At 50.5% G+C, this 19,082-nt stretch overlaps 1 protein-coding gene across 14 annotated transcripts in view, besides 7 other annotated features; it reads left to right on the forward strand.

The window, feature by feature from the left end:
* Positions 1 to 19,082, forward strand: part of PRDM11 (PR/SET domain 11) — a 140,951-nt gene that overhangs the window by 112,364 nt on the left and 9,505 nt on the right. For 6 of the 14 annotated variants that reach the window (NM_001384648.1, XM_011520225.3, NM_001256695.2 and 3 more), the window contains 2 exons: positions 13,048 to 13,235; positions 17,695 to 18,321. In NM_001384648.1, the coding sequence (NP_001371577.1) occupies positions 13,048 to 13,235; positions 17,695 to 18,321 (815 nt within the window). Of the gene's footprint in view, positions 1 to 2,351; positions 2,774 to 5,946; positions 8,223 to 13,047; positions 13,236 to 17,694; positions 18,567 to 19,082 lie in introns of those variants that run through there. The other 8 variants (NM_001384649.1, NM_001384650.1, XM_047427313.1 and 5 more) reach the window with 3 other exon arrangements.
* Positions 2,878 to 3,625: an enhancer, noted in NCBI's record as "H3K27ac-H3K4me1 hESC enhancer chr11:45230951-45231698 (GRCh37/hg19 assembly coordinates)". NCBI's record gives its function as "activates a minimal SCP1, AML or CMV promoter by ChIP-STARR-seq in naive H9 embryonic stem cells {active_cell/tissue: H9 hESC(naive)}" and the evidence as "EXISTENCE:reporter gene assay evidence [ECO:0000049][PMID:30033119]".
* Positions 3,626 to 4,373: an enhancer, noted in NCBI's record as "H3K27ac-H3K4me1 hESC enhancer chr11:45231699-45232446 (GRCh37/hg19 assembly coordinates)". NCBI's record gives its function as "activates a minimal SCP1, AML or CMV promoter by ChIP-STARR-seq in naive H9 embryonic stem cells {active_cell/tissue: H9 hESC(naive)}" and the evidence as "EXISTENCE:reporter gene assay evidence [ECO:0000049][PMID:30033119]".
* Positions 4,374 to 5,120: an enhancer, noted in NCBI's record as "H3K27ac-H3K4me1 hESC enhancer chr11:45232447-45233193 (GRCh37/hg19 assembly coordinates)". NCBI's record gives its function as "activates a minimal SCP1, AML or CMV promoter by ChIP-STARR-seq in primed H9 embryonic stem cells {active_cell/tissue: H9 hESC(primed)}" and the evidence as "EXISTENCE:reporter gene assay evidence [ECO:0000049][PMID:30033119]".
* Positions 5,698 to 6,560: an enhancer, noted in NCBI's record as "H3K27ac-H3K4me1 hESC enhancer chr11:45233771-45234633 (GRCh37/hg19 assembly coordinates)". NCBI's record gives its function as "activates a minimal SCP1, AML or CMV promoter by ChIP-STARR-seq in naive H9 embryonic stem cells {active_cell/tissue: H9 hESC(naive)}" and the evidence as "EXISTENCE:reporter gene assay evidence [ECO:0000049][PMID:30033119]".
* Positions 6,561 to 7,422: an enhancer, noted in NCBI's record as "H3K27ac-H3K4me1 hESC enhancer chr11:45234634-45235495 (GRCh37/hg19 assembly coordinates)". NCBI's record gives its function as "activates a minimal SCP1, AML or CMV promoter by ChIP-STARR-seq in naive H9 embryonic stem cells {active_cell/tissue: H9 hESC(naive)}" and the evidence as "EXISTENCE:reporter gene assay evidence [ECO:0000049][PMID:30033119]".
* Positions 12,484 to 13,045: an enhancer, noted in NCBI's record as "H3K27ac-H3K4me1 hESC enhancer chr11:45240557-45241118 (GRCh37/hg19 assembly coordinates)". NCBI's record gives its function as "activates a minimal SCP1, AML or CMV promoter by ChIP-STARR-seq in naive H9 embryonic stem cells {active_cell/tissue: H9 hESC(naive)}" and the evidence as "EXISTENCE:reporter gene assay evidence [ECO:0000049][PMID:30033119]".
* Positions 13,046 to 13,605: an enhancer, noted in NCBI's record as "H3K27ac-H3K4me1 hESC enhancer chr11:45241119-45241678 (GRCh37/hg19 assembly coordinates)". NCBI's record gives its function as "activates a minimal SCP1, AML or CMV promoter by ChIP-STARR-seq in naive H9 embryonic stem cells {active_cell/tissue: H9 hESC(naive)}" and the evidence as "EXISTENCE:reporter gene assay evidence [ECO:0000049][PMID:30033119]".

Below are 19,082 nucleotides of genomic sequence, written 5' to 3' on the forward strand. Positions count from 1 at the left end.
ATTGCTTTTAAGGCGCCGGGAGCTTTGCCCATAGAACCGAATCTGTTCCACTCTTTCACCCATCTCTGATCTTTCCCCCTGGGGACAAGGCCTTCTCAAAACCCCAAAAAAGGGGAGCTATCATCCAAACTAACTTATCTATCCTCTGGCACCCCGCAGATTGTGACTTAATTGGGCTGGGGATTGGCCTTGGGCCTTGGTATTTTTAAAGCTAGTGATTCTGATGTGCCACTAGCATTGAGAACCACTGCTCTGTACAGATCTTCATGCCACAGTGGTCAAGCTGAGAGCAGGGCAAGGTCTTGCTTAAGAGCATACAGTCAGGGTAGCAGAATCAGGATTTGAACTCCTGGCTCTGTAATCCTAGGTCGGTGTTCTTCCTGCTTGTGCACAAGGGACCAGGTGAAGCGTGGCTTCCTGGGCCTGGATGGGCACTGGTGAGCAGGGGTTTGGGGGTTTCTGCTACTGCCACCTTGCTAGCATGGTTTCTGTCCTGTTCTGCTCCCAGCCTGTCCTGATTCAAGATGGCATCTGGGTAGTCACAGCTGGTGGGCTCTCATCTTATGACCACTCAAAGAGCAGGTTTGGGTTAGGGATGCAGTTTGTTGCCACGGAGACGCCCCTCCTGTTGCTGTTGGAGTGACGGGAAAGCTGTTAATCCTGGGAATCCTCCTTTCCCTTCATGTCCAGCTTCCGTGGTGTGGCTCTTTCTGACTTGCAGATGCTCTCCTTTGCACTGTCATGGCACCGCTTGGGGATGATTGAATGGACTCTGTTAGTTTCTTAACAAAATTAATGGTGGGCCAGGAGGCGAATGGGCACTGTCGTGTTGAGCTTATCTTTATGACAGCCCCATCTAGGTGATCTGTCTGTGGTGGTTCTCAACCGAGCACTATTTTGTGCCCCTGGGGGCATTTGGCAAGGCCTGGAGACATGTTTGATGGTTGGATGCTATCAGATAGAAGCCAAGGATGTTGATAAAATCCTGCATTACACAGGACACCCCTTCCCCCCAACGAAAAATTTTCTAGCCCCAACTGCCAATAGTGGCAAGATTGAGACACCCACATTAAGTCCTCCTGATAGCCCTGGACAGTGACACTAGAATTGTCACCCTAGTTTTATGGAGAAGGAGACTGGGTTCACACGAGTCCCATGGCTTGGCCCAAGGAGACTCAGTCTCTAGTTCCAGGTCTAGTCCCATATTCCTGCCACCATCTTGGACTGGGTAATGAGGCCCCCAGCCTTCTTCCCATCTTCTGGGCCCTGGTGTTTTGGGTGCTTGAGTAGGAAGGTGAGGGCTGAAGGATGTTGGTGCCGCCGGCCTTCCCCTCTTGGTTTCAGAAGGAAACCAAGGAGTGAATGCGCTCTGAGCTTTCCTCCATACCCTCATGTCCTCTCTTGGGTGGATTTTTTCACCTTTTATCACTAGTTAAAAGGGTGACAGAGCCACGATGTGGAGAAATCAAGTTCCAAAGCCAGAGCAGGAGCCAAGTGGGATGGAAGGGCCATGCTGTGCCCCTTGCCCAGGGCCTCTGGCTGCTCAGTTGAGAGGGAATCCCAGGTCCCCCTGGTGTCCACCAAAGTGGAACTTGACTCCCTCAGGACAGTCGTGGGCTTCTCAAATTCTACCAAAAAGTCACAGCAGCCCACCCCCGAAGAAAGCACTCCCATGGGAAGGAAACCTGTTTGCCTGCACATATGCAAAGGTGGGGGCTTGGAGAACTGACCGGGACGGGGAAGGGGAAGAGAGCCACTAGGCAGAATAAGCTTTCTGTGGCCACACCCTAATCATGGCATTGTCACTGCTACACCCAACGGTAGCCAGTGTAAATAGTTTCCCTGGTTACGTATTCTTCCGAGCCATTCATTCAGCTGTAGGGCTGTAGGTAAATATCGCTTTATAGAGGCAATGGGCTAATCCTAATTTCAATAAGATCCTTTACTGCTATCTTTAAGAGATTTTAAGCCCCTTACATCATGATGTGTTTCCCTCCTTAGTAATAAACCCGAAGAGTTGTGGTTGTTATTCTGGACAGGGAGAATAAGGTGTGAAAGGTTGAACATGAACTGCCCTAGCTCTCACCGCTAGTAAGAGCTAAAGCAGGCCCTGAAACCAAGGCCTTCGACTCTGAGTTCAGTGCTCCCTCCCATGTAACGCCGTCTCTTCTTTCCACCCTCCCCTCCGAGGAGTAGTGGAAGGGACCTCTCAGTAGGAGGAGGGTGTGGTGGGGGCCAGGTTGCCCCAGGTGCCTCCTGGCTCCCCAGCTGGGGGCCAGCAATTAGGAAGGAGAACCACCTGCATTGACGGTCATTTACCCAATTGTGCTTTGTGGGATATTCAACCCAAGGAATGTGGCACACCTGGCTGAGCGTAAGAGGAAGCCCAAGTTCTCCAAGGAGGAGCTGGACATTCTTGTCACAGAGGTGACCCACCATGAAGCAGTGCTCTTTGGGAGGGAGACCATGCGGCTGTCCCATGCTGACAGGGACAAGATTTGGGAAGGCATAGCCCGGAAAATCACCTCCGTCAGCCAGGTGCCCCGCTCCGTCAAGGACATTAAGCACAGATGGGATGACATGAAACGGAGGACCAAGGACAAGCTGGCCTTCATGCAGCAGTCCCTGTCGGGCCCTGGGGCCGGGGGCCGGGCCCCCACCATCGTGCTCACGGCCCACGAGAGGGCCATCAAGTCGGCGCTGCTCACGGCCCGTGCAGGGCGCGGCTTCCCCAGGGCGGAACTGGATGGCACCGACAGCCCTTCGACCAGCTGTGAGTATCACCAGTCCCCCCCGCCACCCAGCCGGCTGCCTGCCCCCCAGCTTACAGTCCACAGTCTCCCACCGACTTTCCCTCTGGTTCTCTCCTGTCCCTCTCTGTCCAGCCCACTCTTTCCATCCTCCCCTCCTTCTCCCACTCTTCTCCTCTCCATCCCTTTTTGCATTCATTCTCGAATATTTACTGAGCATCTCCGTGCCAGAGCCGTGCTAGGAGCTGGGAAGACAGCTGTGTGTAAACCCCACGCAGGCCCTGCTCTTGGGGAGACCCTGGACTCCTAGGAATAAACCAACGTTAAATAATTGCACGAGTAAACTGGAAACGAAGGGATGGAGGACACAGGAGTCCAGGAGGTCCCGAGAGCAGGGCTGACTTCATGAGCATGCAACCTGAACAGTCACAGGGGCCGCGGGGTTTCAGGCTCTGCTGTCGCCATCTGGACATTCTTCATAGTTTTTGAGCCAGGGGCCCCACGTTTTCATTTTGCATTTGACCCTGCAGGTTATGTAGCAGCTCTGTCTGAGAGTTAAGGAGTGGGTAAAACTGGCTCCACTGGGGACTGGGGAGGGCTCCCTGAAGAAGTCCAGCGGACTAGGATGTGAAGAGTAAGAGTTAACCAGGCCAGGCAGCAGCGTGGGGCGCGGAGAAGGGGAGGGGAGGCGCGCAGGCAGAGAACAGCATGTACGAGGCCCCGCATCAGGAAGGCGCTTGGCACGTTCCAGGAACAGTGAGAAGCCAGGAAAGCCCAAGTGTAGCAGCGCGGGGGAGGGGGCTGGAGACGAGGCGGCCAAGCTGTGAAGGCCCGGGCCGGGCCATGGAAAGATCAGTTCCTTTCTGTGTCTGGTCCTGACTGCTTTGTTCCTCTATTATTACTCCCCTGCCTGAGCCACGCTGCCTGCCCCCACTTTTCTGTGTGCTGCCTCTCAGCTCCCTCTCCATCCTCCTGGCTGCTCCGCCACCCGCTCCCCACCCCTCTTCTCCCTCTGTACTTGTCCCTGCCTTTCCTCTCTACTTCCTGTGTCTCACATGCACTTTGAAGCCAGGGCCCCAGCGGCCGAGGCGGGTGTCCCTTGGGGCTGGAGTTCTAGTTGGGGCTCAGCAGAAGGGGGAGCACTAAAGGCCTCCGCAGGGACTGCAACCCTTCCTTTCCACTTCTGCACATCTCCCCCGTGCCCCGCCAGCTGCAGTCCCCACTAGAGGCCGTCTGCCTGACCGGCTCGTGAGTGGTGGGAGCCAGGCAGGAGGGGCCCCAGGGAAGCAGCCGTGGCTCAGCCCATGGGAAGGTGCTTTGCAAAGACTCACTTGCACCTTCCCTTCCCGGGCCCCCTGCCATTGTGATCCACTTGCTTCCTGTTTGGCTGGGGCTCCTGACAGGTGGCAGTTCACAGAGTCAGATGTTTAGGACTGGAAAAGAACATGGAGACCATTTAGTTCAACTTCCTTGCAATGCAGAAAGTAAGCTCTGAAAACCAAGGTGGCCCTGAGCTCAATTCAGAAGCAGGACTTGAACCCGGGTCTGCTGGCTTCCTGTGAATCAGTGTTTTCCTAAGTCTTAAGAGGATTCCACCCCGTGATAAGAAAAAATGGGGGGGTCAGCATCCAGTAAAGCCTGTTCCCTGCATCCTGCTCCGCTCACCCCTCCATCTCCCTGAGACTGAATGTAATGAGGCCACCAAAGGTAACCTGGGCTGGCAGGGAGCCCGAGTGTGCCATCAGGCAGAGCCCGCTCACCCCCATGGCAGGCTCACAGCCCTCCTTTTCCTGGCAGTGGCCAGCTGCGGCAGCACTCGGCCAGGGGCTTGGCAGAACGGGGACCTGGGAGGGAAGGAGCAGCATCACCTCGCCGGGTCTCACTCCTTCCAACACTGGCCATGCTAGACAGGTCTCTGGGATCTCAGGGGATGGCTGCTGTCCCACCAAACACTGCCAAGAGACACAGGACTCTTACCAAGCTGGCCCAAGTGAGCCCCCAGGACCCCTGGGAGGCATGAGGTAACTGTAAGATAAACCTGTCTGTCCTCCCCATCACCTTCCTGGGGGGTGGTTCTGAGTTGAGTCCGCAGATCCAGGCAGGGAGGGCTTGCCTGTCAGTAGGGTCAGCCCATACATCATTTAATCCTGCCACAGGGATCAGCCCATACCCTTGGTCACCAGAAAGCAGGACCCACATGTGCAGAGGCTGGGCCCCCTCCCTGTGTCCGGCTGCAAGGAGCAGTCTGTCCGATGGCCCCTGTGGATGGGAGCACGATGTGACTGAACTGGAAGCCTGCCTTGGGGGACAGGGGGACAGCAGGGCTGGTTGCAGAGGTGGCTCTCCTGCTCTGCACTGTCCTGCCAGTTTCTTCAGCCTGTCAGCATGTGCTGCAGTGATTTAAAGATGCAGATTCCATATTAGTAGTCTTTTATCCCTCACCCCCTTCCCACTCTTCCCCCCAAGTCCGCAAAGTCCGTTGTATCAATCTTATGCCTTTGTGTCATATGGCACAGTGTATACTGCTTGGGTCATGGGTGCACCAAAATCTCACAAGTCACCACTGAAGAACTTCCTCATGTAACCAAACACCACCTGTACCCCAATAACTTATGGAAAAAAAAGTGTGCAGATTCCAGCAAGGCCACAGGATGGCCCCAAGCAATGCAGACGTGGCCTCAGAAAGTCTGGTGCTCAGAGGGCCAAGAGCGTCTTAGTACCTTTAGGCAGGTGCCGCTCCTTCAGCGTTACAGAGCACCTTCATGTTTGTCATCTTGTTTATGACTCTTCTTAACAACCCAATTAGGTAGCCAAGCGGTTCGATGTGTAGACAGGGCAGTCGTTATCATTGCAGAAAGTGAGGTGCAGAGAGATGAACTGACTGCTGAGGTCAGGAGCTGCTGGGTTGGCACGCAGCCGGTGGGCCACGGTCTCCAAGTCCCCTGGCCTGGGCTCTTCCCCACTAGAATAGAGCTGTTCCGTTGAGAGGAAGAGGAACTTCCCCCCAGGGATGCTGGGCCCACGCACCTCAGGGATTTGGGGAACGTGGATTTCTCTATGGGCGGGGGCCAAACTAGACCGCAGGGTGGCAGGGCAGGGGGATACTCAGGTGTTTTTCAGGGGCAGGGCCAACCCCTGGGCCTCCCTCCTTCTCCCTTTTGTAACCACTTTTCCATCTTTGTTTCTGTCCCCCAAGATGATGAAGATGAGGAGGCGCCTGGGCCCTCAAGGCAGCCTCTTCGGGTGCCTCTGCAGCGGTCTCCGGAGGAAGAGGCCCACCTGGCCAGGCCCGCCCTGCTCCGTTCATCCTCCTCCTCAGACCAGTCTGAGACGGTGGGCCCCAAGCCAGAGGCCCTGCCCCATCCCTCGCCCCAGGCCCAGGCTGCCTGCAGGACCCCTCGGCCGCACCCCAGCCCACCCACCACGGGCCTTGACTGGCAGCTCCTCCACGTCCATGCCCAGCAGACCGAGGTGTTCCGGCAGTTCTGCCAGGAGCTGGTGACCGTGCACCGGGACATGGCCAACAGCATGCACGTCATCGGCCAGGCCATGGCCGAGCTGACCAGCCGTGTCGGTCAGATGTGCCAGACGCTGACAGAGATCCGGGATGGGGTTCAGGCATCTCAGCGGGGGCCAGAAGGGGCAGACCCTACGGGCTCCACTCCCCAGGCCACCCAGGCCCAAGCCCCCCTGCCAGAGCCCCCACCAGCTTCCCCAGCATCAGCCCCCACACGGACTACCAGGTCTCGGAAGAGAAAGCACAATTTCTAACCCAGCTAGTCTGCACTAGGAGGAAGAGTCATGGAGGAGGGATGTCTGGCCTCACAACAGGGGCCAGTCTTTCGTGTCCAGGAACAGGATCGATGACCCTTGTAGGACACTGGGGGCGCTGTTACCTCCTCACCGAGCGCAGGTCGCTGCCCTGTGGTCTAACAGAGCATGTATTCAGACCCGCACCCTCATCTTTGGCGGATGCTGAAGATGCAAGAAAAGCCACCTGCTTGATGCTTGCTTGGCCTGGAGATCGTTCTCCTCTTGGTCTGTGTCCCGTGGTGGCAGGCCTTGCAGGGAGGGGGGCGCAACAGTGGGGAGCATCCGAATGGAGTCCCACTTTCCAACCTTGGGGCTGCTGCATCGGCCTCCCACATGTGACCTCCCAGGCCCTGATGCTGCTTCTTTTGAAGGGGGTGAGGCCTGATGGGCAGGTCAAGTCGGTCCTTCAGGGAGGGGTCTACCCTCCCTTGCCCGGGGGTGGTGCCCGCCTTGGCCCTCCGCTTGCCCTTGTGCGCGTGCTCAGCTGCTGTGCTTGCCTTTTTTGGAGTGGGGAGAAGAATGGGATGACGTCGGAGGAAGGAAAAGACTGTCTTGCATTCATAGAGAGCACTTTATGCTTTTCCTCGCCCTTGCAGAGTCTGGGTGGTCTCAGTGGGGGCTCAGGACAGTCAGCTCAAGACAGCCAAGTCAGGTATTATTATGATCATTTTTATCATCATCATCTGTATAAGACAAATGACACAGCCAGTTAGTGAGAGGGCCAGGACTGGAAGCCAGGGTATCGGTTTTCCCAGCTCCCCTGTCAGAGGCCAGATCTGGAGTAGTGGGAAGAGGAGGCAGGGGGCAGGTCTTGCCCCTTGCCAGGCCTCTGCCCCTTGCCAGGCCTCTGCCCCCTGTATCTCTGCTTCTGCCTCAGCTGTCCTGGGTGAGGTGGGAGGCACCTAGCATTTAGCAGGTGATTCTCCCACCCTGCCCTGGCTCTATGGCTCATAGCCAGTGGCTTGGAGAGGCAGGGCCAGATCTCAGGAGTGGAGGGCAACCTCTTCCCTGGCTTCTAAAAGAATCCAGAGCCCAGTGGGGCTCATGTCCCATTCCAGGTTCCAGCATGCCTTGCCTCTGCTTGCTCGGGCTGCCTACGCACTAGCTACATACACCTCTAGCTTCATGTTTCATGTTGGAGTGTGGGGAGAAAACTGGGTTCTTAGCATTAGAGAGGGAAGTGGCAGGTGGCAGATACAAGCTTAGCTCTGACCTGGGTGCACCTCAGCTCTGTGTCCTTTTTTTTCCCTGACCTGAAGCTGACCCCAGCAGAAGTCCCCCAGCCAACCCCTCCACCCAACAACCCCCCACCCTCCCATCCTGCCCCCAGCCATAGTGGGAGCTGGGAGGATTGCAGCATCTAGTGCCTTCCAAGGCTGTTCCTGGAGCGCTGCTTGTAAACCCAAGCCAAGCTTTGTCCCACGTAGGGAGAATGGAAGGTGACTGCAATGTCCCTGTGCCTTTGGCTCCATCTCCCCATTCTGTGGTTCTTTGGGGGTTCCTGCTTCCCTCAAACTGAACACTCTCCTGTCCAACAGCCTGATGGCTTAATTATTGCCTGGAATTGCCCGGCCTCCGATGCTGGAATCAAAGATTGCCTTCCGAAGTATTTTTGTTAAGATGGCAATAAAAAGAAATCAATCTCACTCTTTGAACACACCCAGTGTCCAGGATCTTTCTTTGGTGTGTATTCTCTTTCTTCGTTTCCTGTGAAAACCTCGAGGACCCCAAAGCAGGGGTTAGATGTTTAAGGAAAAGCAGGTTGGTGAGAAGGGCTCAAGTGCCCCTTGATTTCCCTGATTCTATAAACTGCCAGATTCCCTGTATCCAGCACCATGCCAGGCCCTCGGAGGAAAGGAAGGGCATGCATGCACGAAACCACTCAGTTATATTTCATTTCTCTGCTCAAAAGTGAGGTGTTGCTAAGTCAATTTTACCTTTTGTTCCCTAAAAGTAAGCGAGAAGTTCTGGAAAAACAATCACCGTTTCGGACAGGAGGCTTTAGAAGGGTCAGGGGCTGTCCATGTGCCAGTGCACTTTAGGGGCCACCTGGAGGCATGACCCTCCCCACCAATCCAGGTGTCTGTGTGTCTGGCACTGGCAAGGCTCTGCCCACCTAGATCTGAGGCTTCTCAAAGTAACCAAAGCTGCCTCCTCTGCCAAGAGGAAGCCTCCTCACCTGTGCATTGCCCTGGCTTAATACCAGTCTCAGAGAGCTTCTCTCAGGCAGGAAATCCCCTAGTCTTGCCCACAGATCCCCTTTCTAGAAGGTTCTAACTTGCCATCCTCCACAGTTCTTGGCCAAAAAGCATGGCCATAGAAATGGAGGACTACCCAATTTCCGAGAGATGCAAAGATGTCGTGAAACCATTCCCAGGGCCTTCTCTCCCAAGGTCAATGTATGAAGCAGTGACTGGCTGGCTGCTCTCTCTCTTCCTGGGGAGGGAAGGAGCCAAATTGGAAGCTGTAAAACTGAAATGGAAGTCAGAGCAAAAGGGACAGTGAGGACTTGTCAACTTGGGATGGAAAAGATTTTCAGTTTCTGTTTCTTGGCTTCAGTGGGGATTGTTGGGCTAGCACATTAAAACAGGAAGAGGAAACTTGGGTGAGAGACAGAAATGAATTGGAAGAGGGAGGCCTCTAGCCATGACCAGGTGACCATCTGGTGGGTGGATGTGTGACCCAAAGCCCCTCCTAGCCCGGAGACCTATGCATGTGAGAACACAGAGCCCAGCCTCTTCTCAGTCGGTCTTTTCCTAGTTCTGCCTCCTTAACTGGGGCAGCTTCCTTTGTATTGAAGATACCCACTATGCAATAGTGTCTGAGCCTGGCCTAGTCAATTCCCTCCAGCAAAATGGATGCCCTGTGTTATGTTTTCTTTGCGTTAGAAACAATAGTCATGTGCTGACCCAGCTAGAAAATATGATGCACTTGATAAGACACAGTGGGTGAGGTCTGAGAATTGTTGTCTTAGTACTTACCTATCCAGTCCCCAAGGTCAGCTGGGAGGTTGGAATAAAAACAATCCAGGATCATCATGACAGGTTTAGTCCAGAGCTCTCCACCGCCATCAGCAGCACCACCACCTTCCCCTTGATTGCTCCAAAGGTCCCAAATTCTGTGGGTTGGAGTTGAAATGCCTCAATAAGCACTAGCATTTGCAGAACAGTCTCAGCCAGGCATTCTCTGTGCCTTCTCTCAAGAGGTAGTGACCTGGTAACTCTTCAAACCTCCTTGCAAAGAGCTGCTCAGCCACAGTGGATAGATTTTGCCCCTCCTGGTAGCCTTCCACTCCTTGGGGAGGGCTTCTGATTTCTGCAGCCATGTAATGAATGGAACAGGCACAGTTCTTCATAAAGGGGTTGTTGTGAATGGGGACAGAAGGGTTCTGGGGGGTGGTCGAGCCAGCAGGTGTTAAGGCAAAACACTTAAAAGCAGGAGATCTAATCAGAGGTAACAGGTCTGGGGACCTAGCTGGCTTCATTTAGCTTTACCTCTTAAATGGTATAACATAAACATCTTGTCAGGGGAATGGGTTGTGATTCACCAAGAGTTGCCATATACATTGTATTTCAAATGCTAAGTTTCAGAACAACAAATACAACAAAATCTGAATAAGCATTGATCTGCCTTTGAAAATACTTTGTGATTTATACAACGCCTTGAGGTTAGCTTTCCAAATATTGATTCTTGATGGATAGAAAAAGACCAGAAGATGGAAAGTTAAATTGACTTGAGTCTTTCTAAACCTTTTGACACACCCTAGAAGTTGCTCTTTTGAATAAATAAATCCCAGATAGGAATGTATTTCTCATCTAGCTTTTTCTCTTGATGTCAAGTGTCAGAGAAATAATTCTAGCTTTTAGAGGTTGGTGGTTGTTTAGAAACTGGAAGAAAAAAAGGAGAAGACAGTATTCTCCAATCATAGTGCTATGATTCAAGTGAGTCTTGTGAGAAAAAAGACGAATGAATGGTTTCCCTTTTGTATCTGGGAGCAGGAAAGTTTGGAACAACTTCTATTCTGTGCTAACCGCAAGGTTGATTATTTTTGGATGTCAAATCCTAGACTCTCACTAAATTGGGGACTGGAAATATTTTGCATATTCAGAAGAAATCTCAGCTATGGAGAAAAGACTGACTCACAGTTGTAGAATTGAGATTGGGAATTATTAATTTGGAGTGACTTCTCTCACTCCAAATTAAAGGAAAAGGGGCTCTTTTCCTTTCTCTTAAGTCCTTTGTTAATAACATCCTGGCTGGGTGCGTGGAAATCACCCTGTGGTCTTCACTACTCAGGGATAGCGATGCTTATATCCGATGTGATAAGAACACCGATGTGTTGGGGCTAACAGAGAACACAGACCTAGGACAAGATGCAAATTCTGGCGGATCTAAGCACCGTAAATCTTGCAAGTTCTACACCTCCATGGTGGAGCCTGTGGCTTGCTTCTCTCAAAAGGTTGAAGCAGCCAAAGCCAGCATTTGCTCTCCCATCTGCCTTGGTCTTACTCCTTCTGAGGTCTTGCAGCATCCTGTTGCCAGAATGGATTGTTCCCTGGACTCCAGTGATCCTCCTTGGAAGGCAACAGCCTCCTCCCAGGCTCTCCAGATGAGCAAGGCAGGATATAGATGAGGGGCAGCTGGTGCCATCCCTGGGACCTCTAGAATGTAGATTCTCCATGCTGCTAGCTGCCACCACTGTCACCTCATACTGGAATTGGCATTCGTATATTTCTTTTCTTTATATGTGTGTCAGGAGTGAGGTGCGTGACAGTAATAGTTGCTTATTGAGGGAAACTTTGAAAGTATGCAAAATTACAAAGATGATCCACCTGTAAGGGGTTGTCACTGTTAAAACATTGGTATATTTCCTTCAAGTCGTTTACTGGGGCTTGTTTTTAAAGCATTATTGGAACCATAGTCTACTTCCAGTCCTATTGTTCTCACACTATCTTATTTCAACACCATTTTTCCATGTCATAAAAGATTCTTTGAAAACATTTTTCTATAGATGAATAGCATTCCATTATATAAATGTAACATCATTTACGAAATCTTATCTAGTATTAGACATTTAAATGTTTTGCCTTTGTACTGCTATACACAATGATACAAGTCAGCATATTGGTATGCCGGGTTTGCATACTTCATCCATAACTTATGTTTCTTGAGCCATATTGCCAAATTGTTTCCTAAAGGGTTGCACCTGTTAATTCTGCATCATCAGTACAGGAGACACCTTTCTTACCACCTTTACCAATAGAGATATTATCATCTTTTAGAAATCTGTGCCAATGAGACAATGTACTACGCTGTGTTTCTGTTATTAGTGATGCTGAATACTTTTCATTTGTTTATTATCCATCTGAATTCTTCTGTGAATTTTTGTTTCCCCTGGACTTTTCCAGATATAATTCATTGGGCTACACCAATCAGACAGACTTTGATTTTTGTCCCTTGTTTTTGAGACAAACCATAACATAAAGAAGTTTATTTTTTACTACAAATTTCCTAGGTGCTTGTGTAGCTCAGAACCCTAAAACGTCAACTAATTTCCTCTTGCCCTCTGATCTGTACACCTTCACTCCTCGGCAGGTGTTCCCTCATCCCACCTTTTGGAGGTGGGTAGGGTGGTGGGCTGGATGTCGCACATGTTGTTTCAGTGAGAATGGGCGAGGGCCATAGATTCTGAGGGTTTGACAGAACTTTAAAGGTTTTCTGGGCATTGCCGAGTTGGTGCTTTACATGCCCACATAGGAGCCATGAGTTACAGTGGGAAACGTGCATAGGACTCAAAGCTCCATCTCCCATTTATTAGCTGTGTGACTTTGGGCAAGTTGCTTGGCCTCTCTGAGCCTCAGTCTCCTTACCTTAAAATCATTTAGTAAGATTAACCAGTGGTTGTCAACCTTTTGTAGTCTGTTATTTACCTTCCTCCCCTGTCCCCACTGGAGCCCCCATTTTTTAAAAGATTTTGATCTTTAGCATTTATTAATTGATCTCTTGGACACCTTGTCACAGGGGCTATTTCAGCAAGGCTTTGTGAAATACTGGAAACAGTTGAAGGACCCCAGCCTTACCACCTTCAGAGGCCTGTGGGTATCTGGGAACCCCAGTGGTTAAAAGTTAGTGAAGAGTAGAAGAGATAACCTTTCAGTTTTTCAATCACTTATAATATTTAGTTGATATATTTTCCATATGGTGTGAGGCAGGCAGGGCAGGTGTCATATCCAGTCTCAGAAAACAGAGATTCTTAGAGGTTTGGAGATCTGCTTGAGGTCCCACAACACGGTGACGTTGGGACAGGGATGGGTTCTGGCTGGTGCTGCTTCTCCGGACAGGGCAGCTGCTCTGCTGATGTTCACATGGGCCCACGTGCCTGTGGACTTCTAACCATCCACACTTGCCCAGCACTGTGCCGGCACCAGCGGGCACTCAACAAAGGGTGGCCCGTGCGTTCTCACCTGTCTCCCCTCCCCACCAGGTACGTGGTCATCTCCCGGGAGGAGAGGGAGCAGAACCTGCTGGCGTTCCAGCACAGTGAGCGCATCTACTTCCGGGCGTGCAGGGACATCCGGCCTGGGGAGTGGCTGCGGGTCTGGTACAGCGAGGACTACATGAAGCGCCTGCACAGCATGTCCCAGGAAACCATTCACCGCAACCTGGCCAGAGGTGAGTGCCATGCTCCACATGAGCTGCGCCCACCTCTGAGCCCCAGGGGAGGCCTGGATAGCTTGTTTTGGAGCTTCCTGAGAAATACGGTTCCCAGCAATGGGAAGACCCAGAGTGATTCGGGGGAACAGATGGTTGAGGTCTGAGCAGCAGCTCTGGGCCAAGCAGGGGCCACCCCAGCATGTTATCGACCCCTAGAAATGGTCTCAGAAATCCTTACCACACACATTTCAGAGTATTCATGAGAGAGACGCCCCCAAAACCGAGCAAATATGTTTAATCAAAATGTACCCTATTTCCCCAACTCCAGTTGATGAAAAGATGTTACAAACTGCCACTGCCTCAATAATGATCGTAATAATAGGTAACATTTACTAAATACTCAATATGTGAAATACTGACAACAGTCCAAGGACCCCACTCTACCACCGTCAGAGGCCTGTTGGGTATCTGGGAACCCCTGTGGTTAAAAGTTTGTGAAGAGTAGAAGAAATGACCTTTCATTTTTTCAGTTACCTGCAATATCTGGTGTTGATATATTTTCCATAGCCTGTGAGCAGATTTTCTGCATGTTCCCATGTAATTATCATAGCAGCCATCCCTACCCTGTCAGTGCACCCTGAGAAGTAGATGGAGTCATGGACATGTGGCATTTAGGACAATGCCCACCTCCATCATCAGAAGTCCTCAGCTATAAACTTTTAATACTCATGATCCCACATGCATTCTTTTACCCATCTTACAGATGTGCAAACCGAATATCAAATGAATACAGTGATTCATCCAGGGCCACCTGGCTAGGAAGGACAGAACTAGGTTTCTAATCCATATTGGTCTGACTTCAAGGTCTAAGTTCTGACCTGCAATGTTACCTGATGTCCCAGACAAAACCAGTCCCCTCCTGGGTTCCTCCTGGTGTCTGTACTGCAGTCCTAATGAGATGAGGTGAAAAAACAATCTCTATCAAAAGAAGAAGGTTGGCAGGAGGTGGGATGGTGACTTAGGTGTGGGAAGCCGGGTGGGTTCGGTGTCCATCCAGAAGCAGTTTTAACTACTCTCAGCCCCTAGTCCTTTACCCTTTTATTCCATCCTCATCCTGACCAGTGTAGACTGGTGAGTCCAGGCCCTTCTTTCAAGGGTGTTTTTTTTGTTTGTTTGTTTGTTTTTTTCCCCACTAAAACCACGCATCCAAACACCTAGAGTCTATCTGGTGCCAGGAACCAAGGCTGTTCCCAAGCCTCACCATATCGTGTTCCTGACCAACTTACTAATTGGAAATAAATCTTCACTTGGAATATGAGGGGAGAAGATGAAAAGGGGGTGGGAGTGACTTATTCAAATTAAGCTATCTTTAAAAGCAAAACAGAGCAAAGCAAATTGTGGACATTGAGTGCACAGCTGCTGCCTGACTTGGTAAAAGGTATCTGGAGATGATGGGCAGTAAAAGGAGACCCCATAAACATACTCATTTCTTGTCTTCTTTGGATCTCAGGGTTTGGCACATGTTGGTTTCACTTGGCAAGGTGTGCTTCCATGATGAGGCTGCAGTGGTTTCCATGTGACCTCTGGAGATGCCTCATGTAAAAGTGCCTGATACATAGTAGGGACTCAATAAGTCTTTGTTGAATGGATAAAAGAAGAAATGAATGAAGACAGCCAAGAAGCTTTCCAAAGAATCATACCACTAGAAGAAAAGAAAACCCAGAGAAATCATATCTGAGAACACAGATTTCATCCCTTGGTCATAACCTTCTTGCATTCTTCTGGATTTGTGATGTCCTTTTCTTCCCCTCAGTGGTCTTCTCCAGAGCACCTGAAGCTGCATCATCCTCCATGAGCCCCAAGACCACAGGGGATTGCTCAGAGAAGGGTGTGAGCTTTCTGGAGTGGTTCAAAGGAGGCGTGTCAGACAGACTTGAAAGGAGATACACCGAGACATATGAAGATACAGGAGGGAAGAGGGTCTATTCCTGGTCAGGCTGAGCAGTAAGAAATAGGAAGGAAATTGAAAGTCACAGTGGGGCAGTTTCACAGCTGTGGGTGATCCTGAAGCCCTTGGGAATGGTCATGGAGCTCAGTGGCTTTTAAATGTGTGCCTCTATAGCCTGTAGCTTCAGCGGACTCTGGTTAGTGGTGTCCCAGATGGGTGTGCCATTGCTGCTCTGAAAGGGAGATCCCCTATGCCCAATCACTCTTGGTCTTATATAGAAGGAGGTTTCTTTGTAATTGGAGGTAGGCACCCTGATGGAGTCCAGAGCATGAATTATTAGTTCTTATTAAGTAGGGATATTGGTTGTTGCCAGAAGTCTTCCTGAAGAGAGTGTAAACTATTCCTTTGTGGTTACCTTTTAAGAATAGATTGCATCTAAAGCTCGCATTCAAACAATTTATGTTATTTGACCTACTTTGATTCACTAATTTACTTTGAGGTTTTCTTTGTTTTTGTTTTCCATGTTGTATGGAGGCTTTGGAACCAATTTCATGATGCTTAAAGGTCTCTTTTGGCCTGTAGATTTTTCTGAAAGCCTTAAGTCCACAAAGATCATACTAAGAAATTTGAACAACGTTGTTTTCAAACAATGACGAGGAATCTCTGGTGATTTCTAGGCTTGATTTCCCGATGTCCTCAGTTGTTTGCTGCCTGATTGTCCCATGAGGAAAGGAAAATGTGGCTCTTGATTTTTAGAGATTTTCAATGGGCAAGTGCTGCATCTGATCTGTAAGACATACAGGTGGCATTTTCAAGTTATCTCCATCTCTCCCCTTTCTGTAGCTCAGCTGATATAGAAGTGCAGGCTGTGGGGAGCTGCCTGGGTTCCAGAAGCCTTGGAGATAAAGTTGTTCCTTAGGTATTCATGTGAGGACAGAAAAGGTGCATCCTGAATAGATAACTCCCTTTTGTGCTGTAACCTAAAGGAAACCTGAAGTCAAACATGGGGCAGGGCACAGCACCCATACCAGCTATGGGAAACCAGACGTGGAACATCTGGACTGCTTATTGGCAAACCCTTGGCCTTCAATCAGAAGTCTTTTGCAAATGGAGCCATCAGAAGCCTAAGTACGTTTTAGTTCAAGTCATTGTTCAGCGGCACATCACCTAGGGCCCCTGCACCTGGTCTAGGAAACCTTTGAGATTTCTGAGTTCCATAGGCTACTTTCAGGACCCTCTAAGGGCTGAAGAGATTCCTCTGCCTTTTTAGCATCTCTCACCAGCAAGCATCAGCACTTCTGTGGCAGTTTATGAAACTATGTTGGTAATTTTTAAAGAATCAGGCTAGCTGGGTGCCATGGCTCATGCCTGTAATCTCAGCACTTTGGGAGGCCAAGGTGGGCAGATGGCTTGAGCCTAGGAGTTTGAGACCAGCCTGGGCAACATGGCGAAACCCTATCTCCACAAAAAGTACAAAAATTAGGGTGTGATGGCTTGTGTCTGTAGTCCCAGCTACTTGGGAGGCTGAAGTGGGGGGATCACTTGAGCCTGGAAGGTGGAGGCTGCGTGAGCACCACTGCACTTCAGCCTGGACAACAGAGTGGGTCTCTGTCTCAAAAAATAAAAATTAAAAACAAGGAATCAGTCTAAAATAATTTATGGTTCAGGAGCTCACCAAAGTCTTTGAAACAATTGAAAGTAATTCAAAGTGAATTGAGGTAATTCACATGATAGAAAGAAATAGGCAAGGAAACGTCCTTTGAATTGCCAAGTGAGGAGACATGGCTATATTTCCTGACTGCTTTGGGTCATTATGGCTACCTTGTCCTTTATCTTGTCGGAGGCTGCCATGTTGGAGCCCTCAGCGCCATAGGTCTCCTTGTCTTCCCCTTTCTTCTGCCCTTAGTCGTCAGTGAGAACAACAGAAGTTCAGATCATGCTTTCTCACATGTTCCTAGTCTGCTGATTGCTGGGAGAATTAGAAAGGACAGTTGCCATAGGATGGACTTTGCCTTAAGTAGGCTGTCTCCAGAGCAACGAAGGAGGAGGAAGGAGTGAGGCCTATGGTGTTTCATGTGTACCTTTTACCAAGTCGAAGCAGCCATCTTGTCATTGCTAGGGCTGAGGGGAAGCTGCAAAGGTTGGGGGAGTTGATACTCACTTGGCTCTGAGGTATGTTCCCACCACCCAGTGTGATTAAGTGGGATGTTGTTTTCTAGGGTCATAGGAAAGAATGTTCAATTACTCTCCCTTATAGATTTCTCTTAACTTATAACCGTAGAGCTTGTAGACATGAGGCTTCTTGGAAACTGTCTCTTTCTAAAAGGTCTTTCCACCGTTCAGGTCCTATGAGTCTAGCTCTGATGGACCACTGAGTGATTCGTATCTCCCCTTTGCAACACTTGCCCCAAAAGCCCAGATCTAGAGGGATGTGTCAGGTGACCTAACAGGAGGCCTGCTTTGTTTTCTGTTGGTTTCTCCAATTTGGGGGTTTTCCCCATTTCCTTACACCCTGGTTTTCCTTCCTAGGAGAGAAGAGGTTGCAGAGGGAGAAGTCTGAGCAGGTTCTGGATAACCCAGAAGACCTGAGGGGTCCCATTCATCTCTCTGTGCTGAGACAGGGCAAAAGTCCCTACAAGCGTGGCTTTGATGAGGGGGATGTACACCCCCAAGCTAAGAAGAAGAAAATTGACCTGATTTTCAAGGATGTTCTGGAGGCCTCACTGGAATCTGCGAAGGTGGAAGCCCACCAGTTGGCCCTGAGCACCTCACTGGTCATCAGGAAAGTCCCCAAATACCAGGATGACGCCTACAGTCAGTGTGCAACAACAATGACCCATGGTGTGCAGAATATAGGCCAGACCCAGGGGGAGGGGGACTGGAAGGTCCCCCAGGGGGTCTCCAAGGAGCCAGGCCAATTGGAGGATGAAGAAGAGGAGCCTTCATCATTCAAGGCCGACAGTCCTGCCGAGGCCTCCCTTGCATCTGACCCTCATGAACTTCCCACCACCTCTTTTTGCCCTAACTGTATTCGCCTAAAGAAGAAGGTTCGGGAGCTCCAGGCAGAATTAGACATGCTTAAGTCTGGGAAACTTCCTGAGCCCCCCGTATTGCCACCACAGGTACTGGAGCTCCCAGAGTTCTCGGACCCTGCAGGTAAGTTGGTTTGGATGAGATTATTGTCGGAGGGCAGAGTACGCAGTGGGCTGTGTGGAGGGTAGCCTAAAGCTCTCTGTGGAAACCACCTTCCGGGAGACCTGAGGAGTGTAACGTGGAGGCGGCTACCTCCGTGGGTGGGAGCCCAGGTCCTCAGTGTCTCTGGCAGACCCATCGGCAGCTCTGCCAGGTGCTCCATGTGTTGCCCTTGTATCCTCCTTGTCAATAAAGGAAGTTCCGCTGCAGAAGGGGTGTGTGCTGTGTTCTTGACCCGTTGCCTTTCTCTGGTACTGGTGTCTTACCCCAAAGCCCAATTTCTAAACCCAGTCTTTCTCTGTCCCCAGTCTCAAGCAGGGTGTCCCACTGGAGAGATCTCTTGGCTTCCCTAACTTAGTCCAGGAACACAGCCTTGTTCTTCTCTTCCTGAATCTCTGTCCTGCCACACATGGTCCCAGTTCCCTAGCCTGGAGTTCTAGAAGGATGGAGAGTGAGGGGATCCAGGCCATTCACCTGCATGGCTTTGCCCTATTCTGTTGGCTACCTGGATTTCTAGAGTTGGTTGACAACTAGGCAGGTGTTCTAGTTCATATCTGCAGCTGAGGGAGACTGTTTACATAGCACTTACTCTTTTAACCACATCCCTTAGCTCAGAATGAGGTGTTTCTTGTATTCAAAGCATGCGTCTGAACTAAACTGCATTTTGATCCTGAAATCACTTGGGGCCATATCCAAGATGCCTTTGTTCACATTAATGAAGGGCA

This window comes from Homo sapiens, chromosome 11, assembly GCF_000001405.40.
Source record: "Homo sapiens chromosome 11, GRCh38.p14 Primary Assembly".
Lineage (NCBI taxonomy): Eukaryota > Metazoa > Chordata > Mammalia > Primates > Hominidae > Homo > Homo sapiens.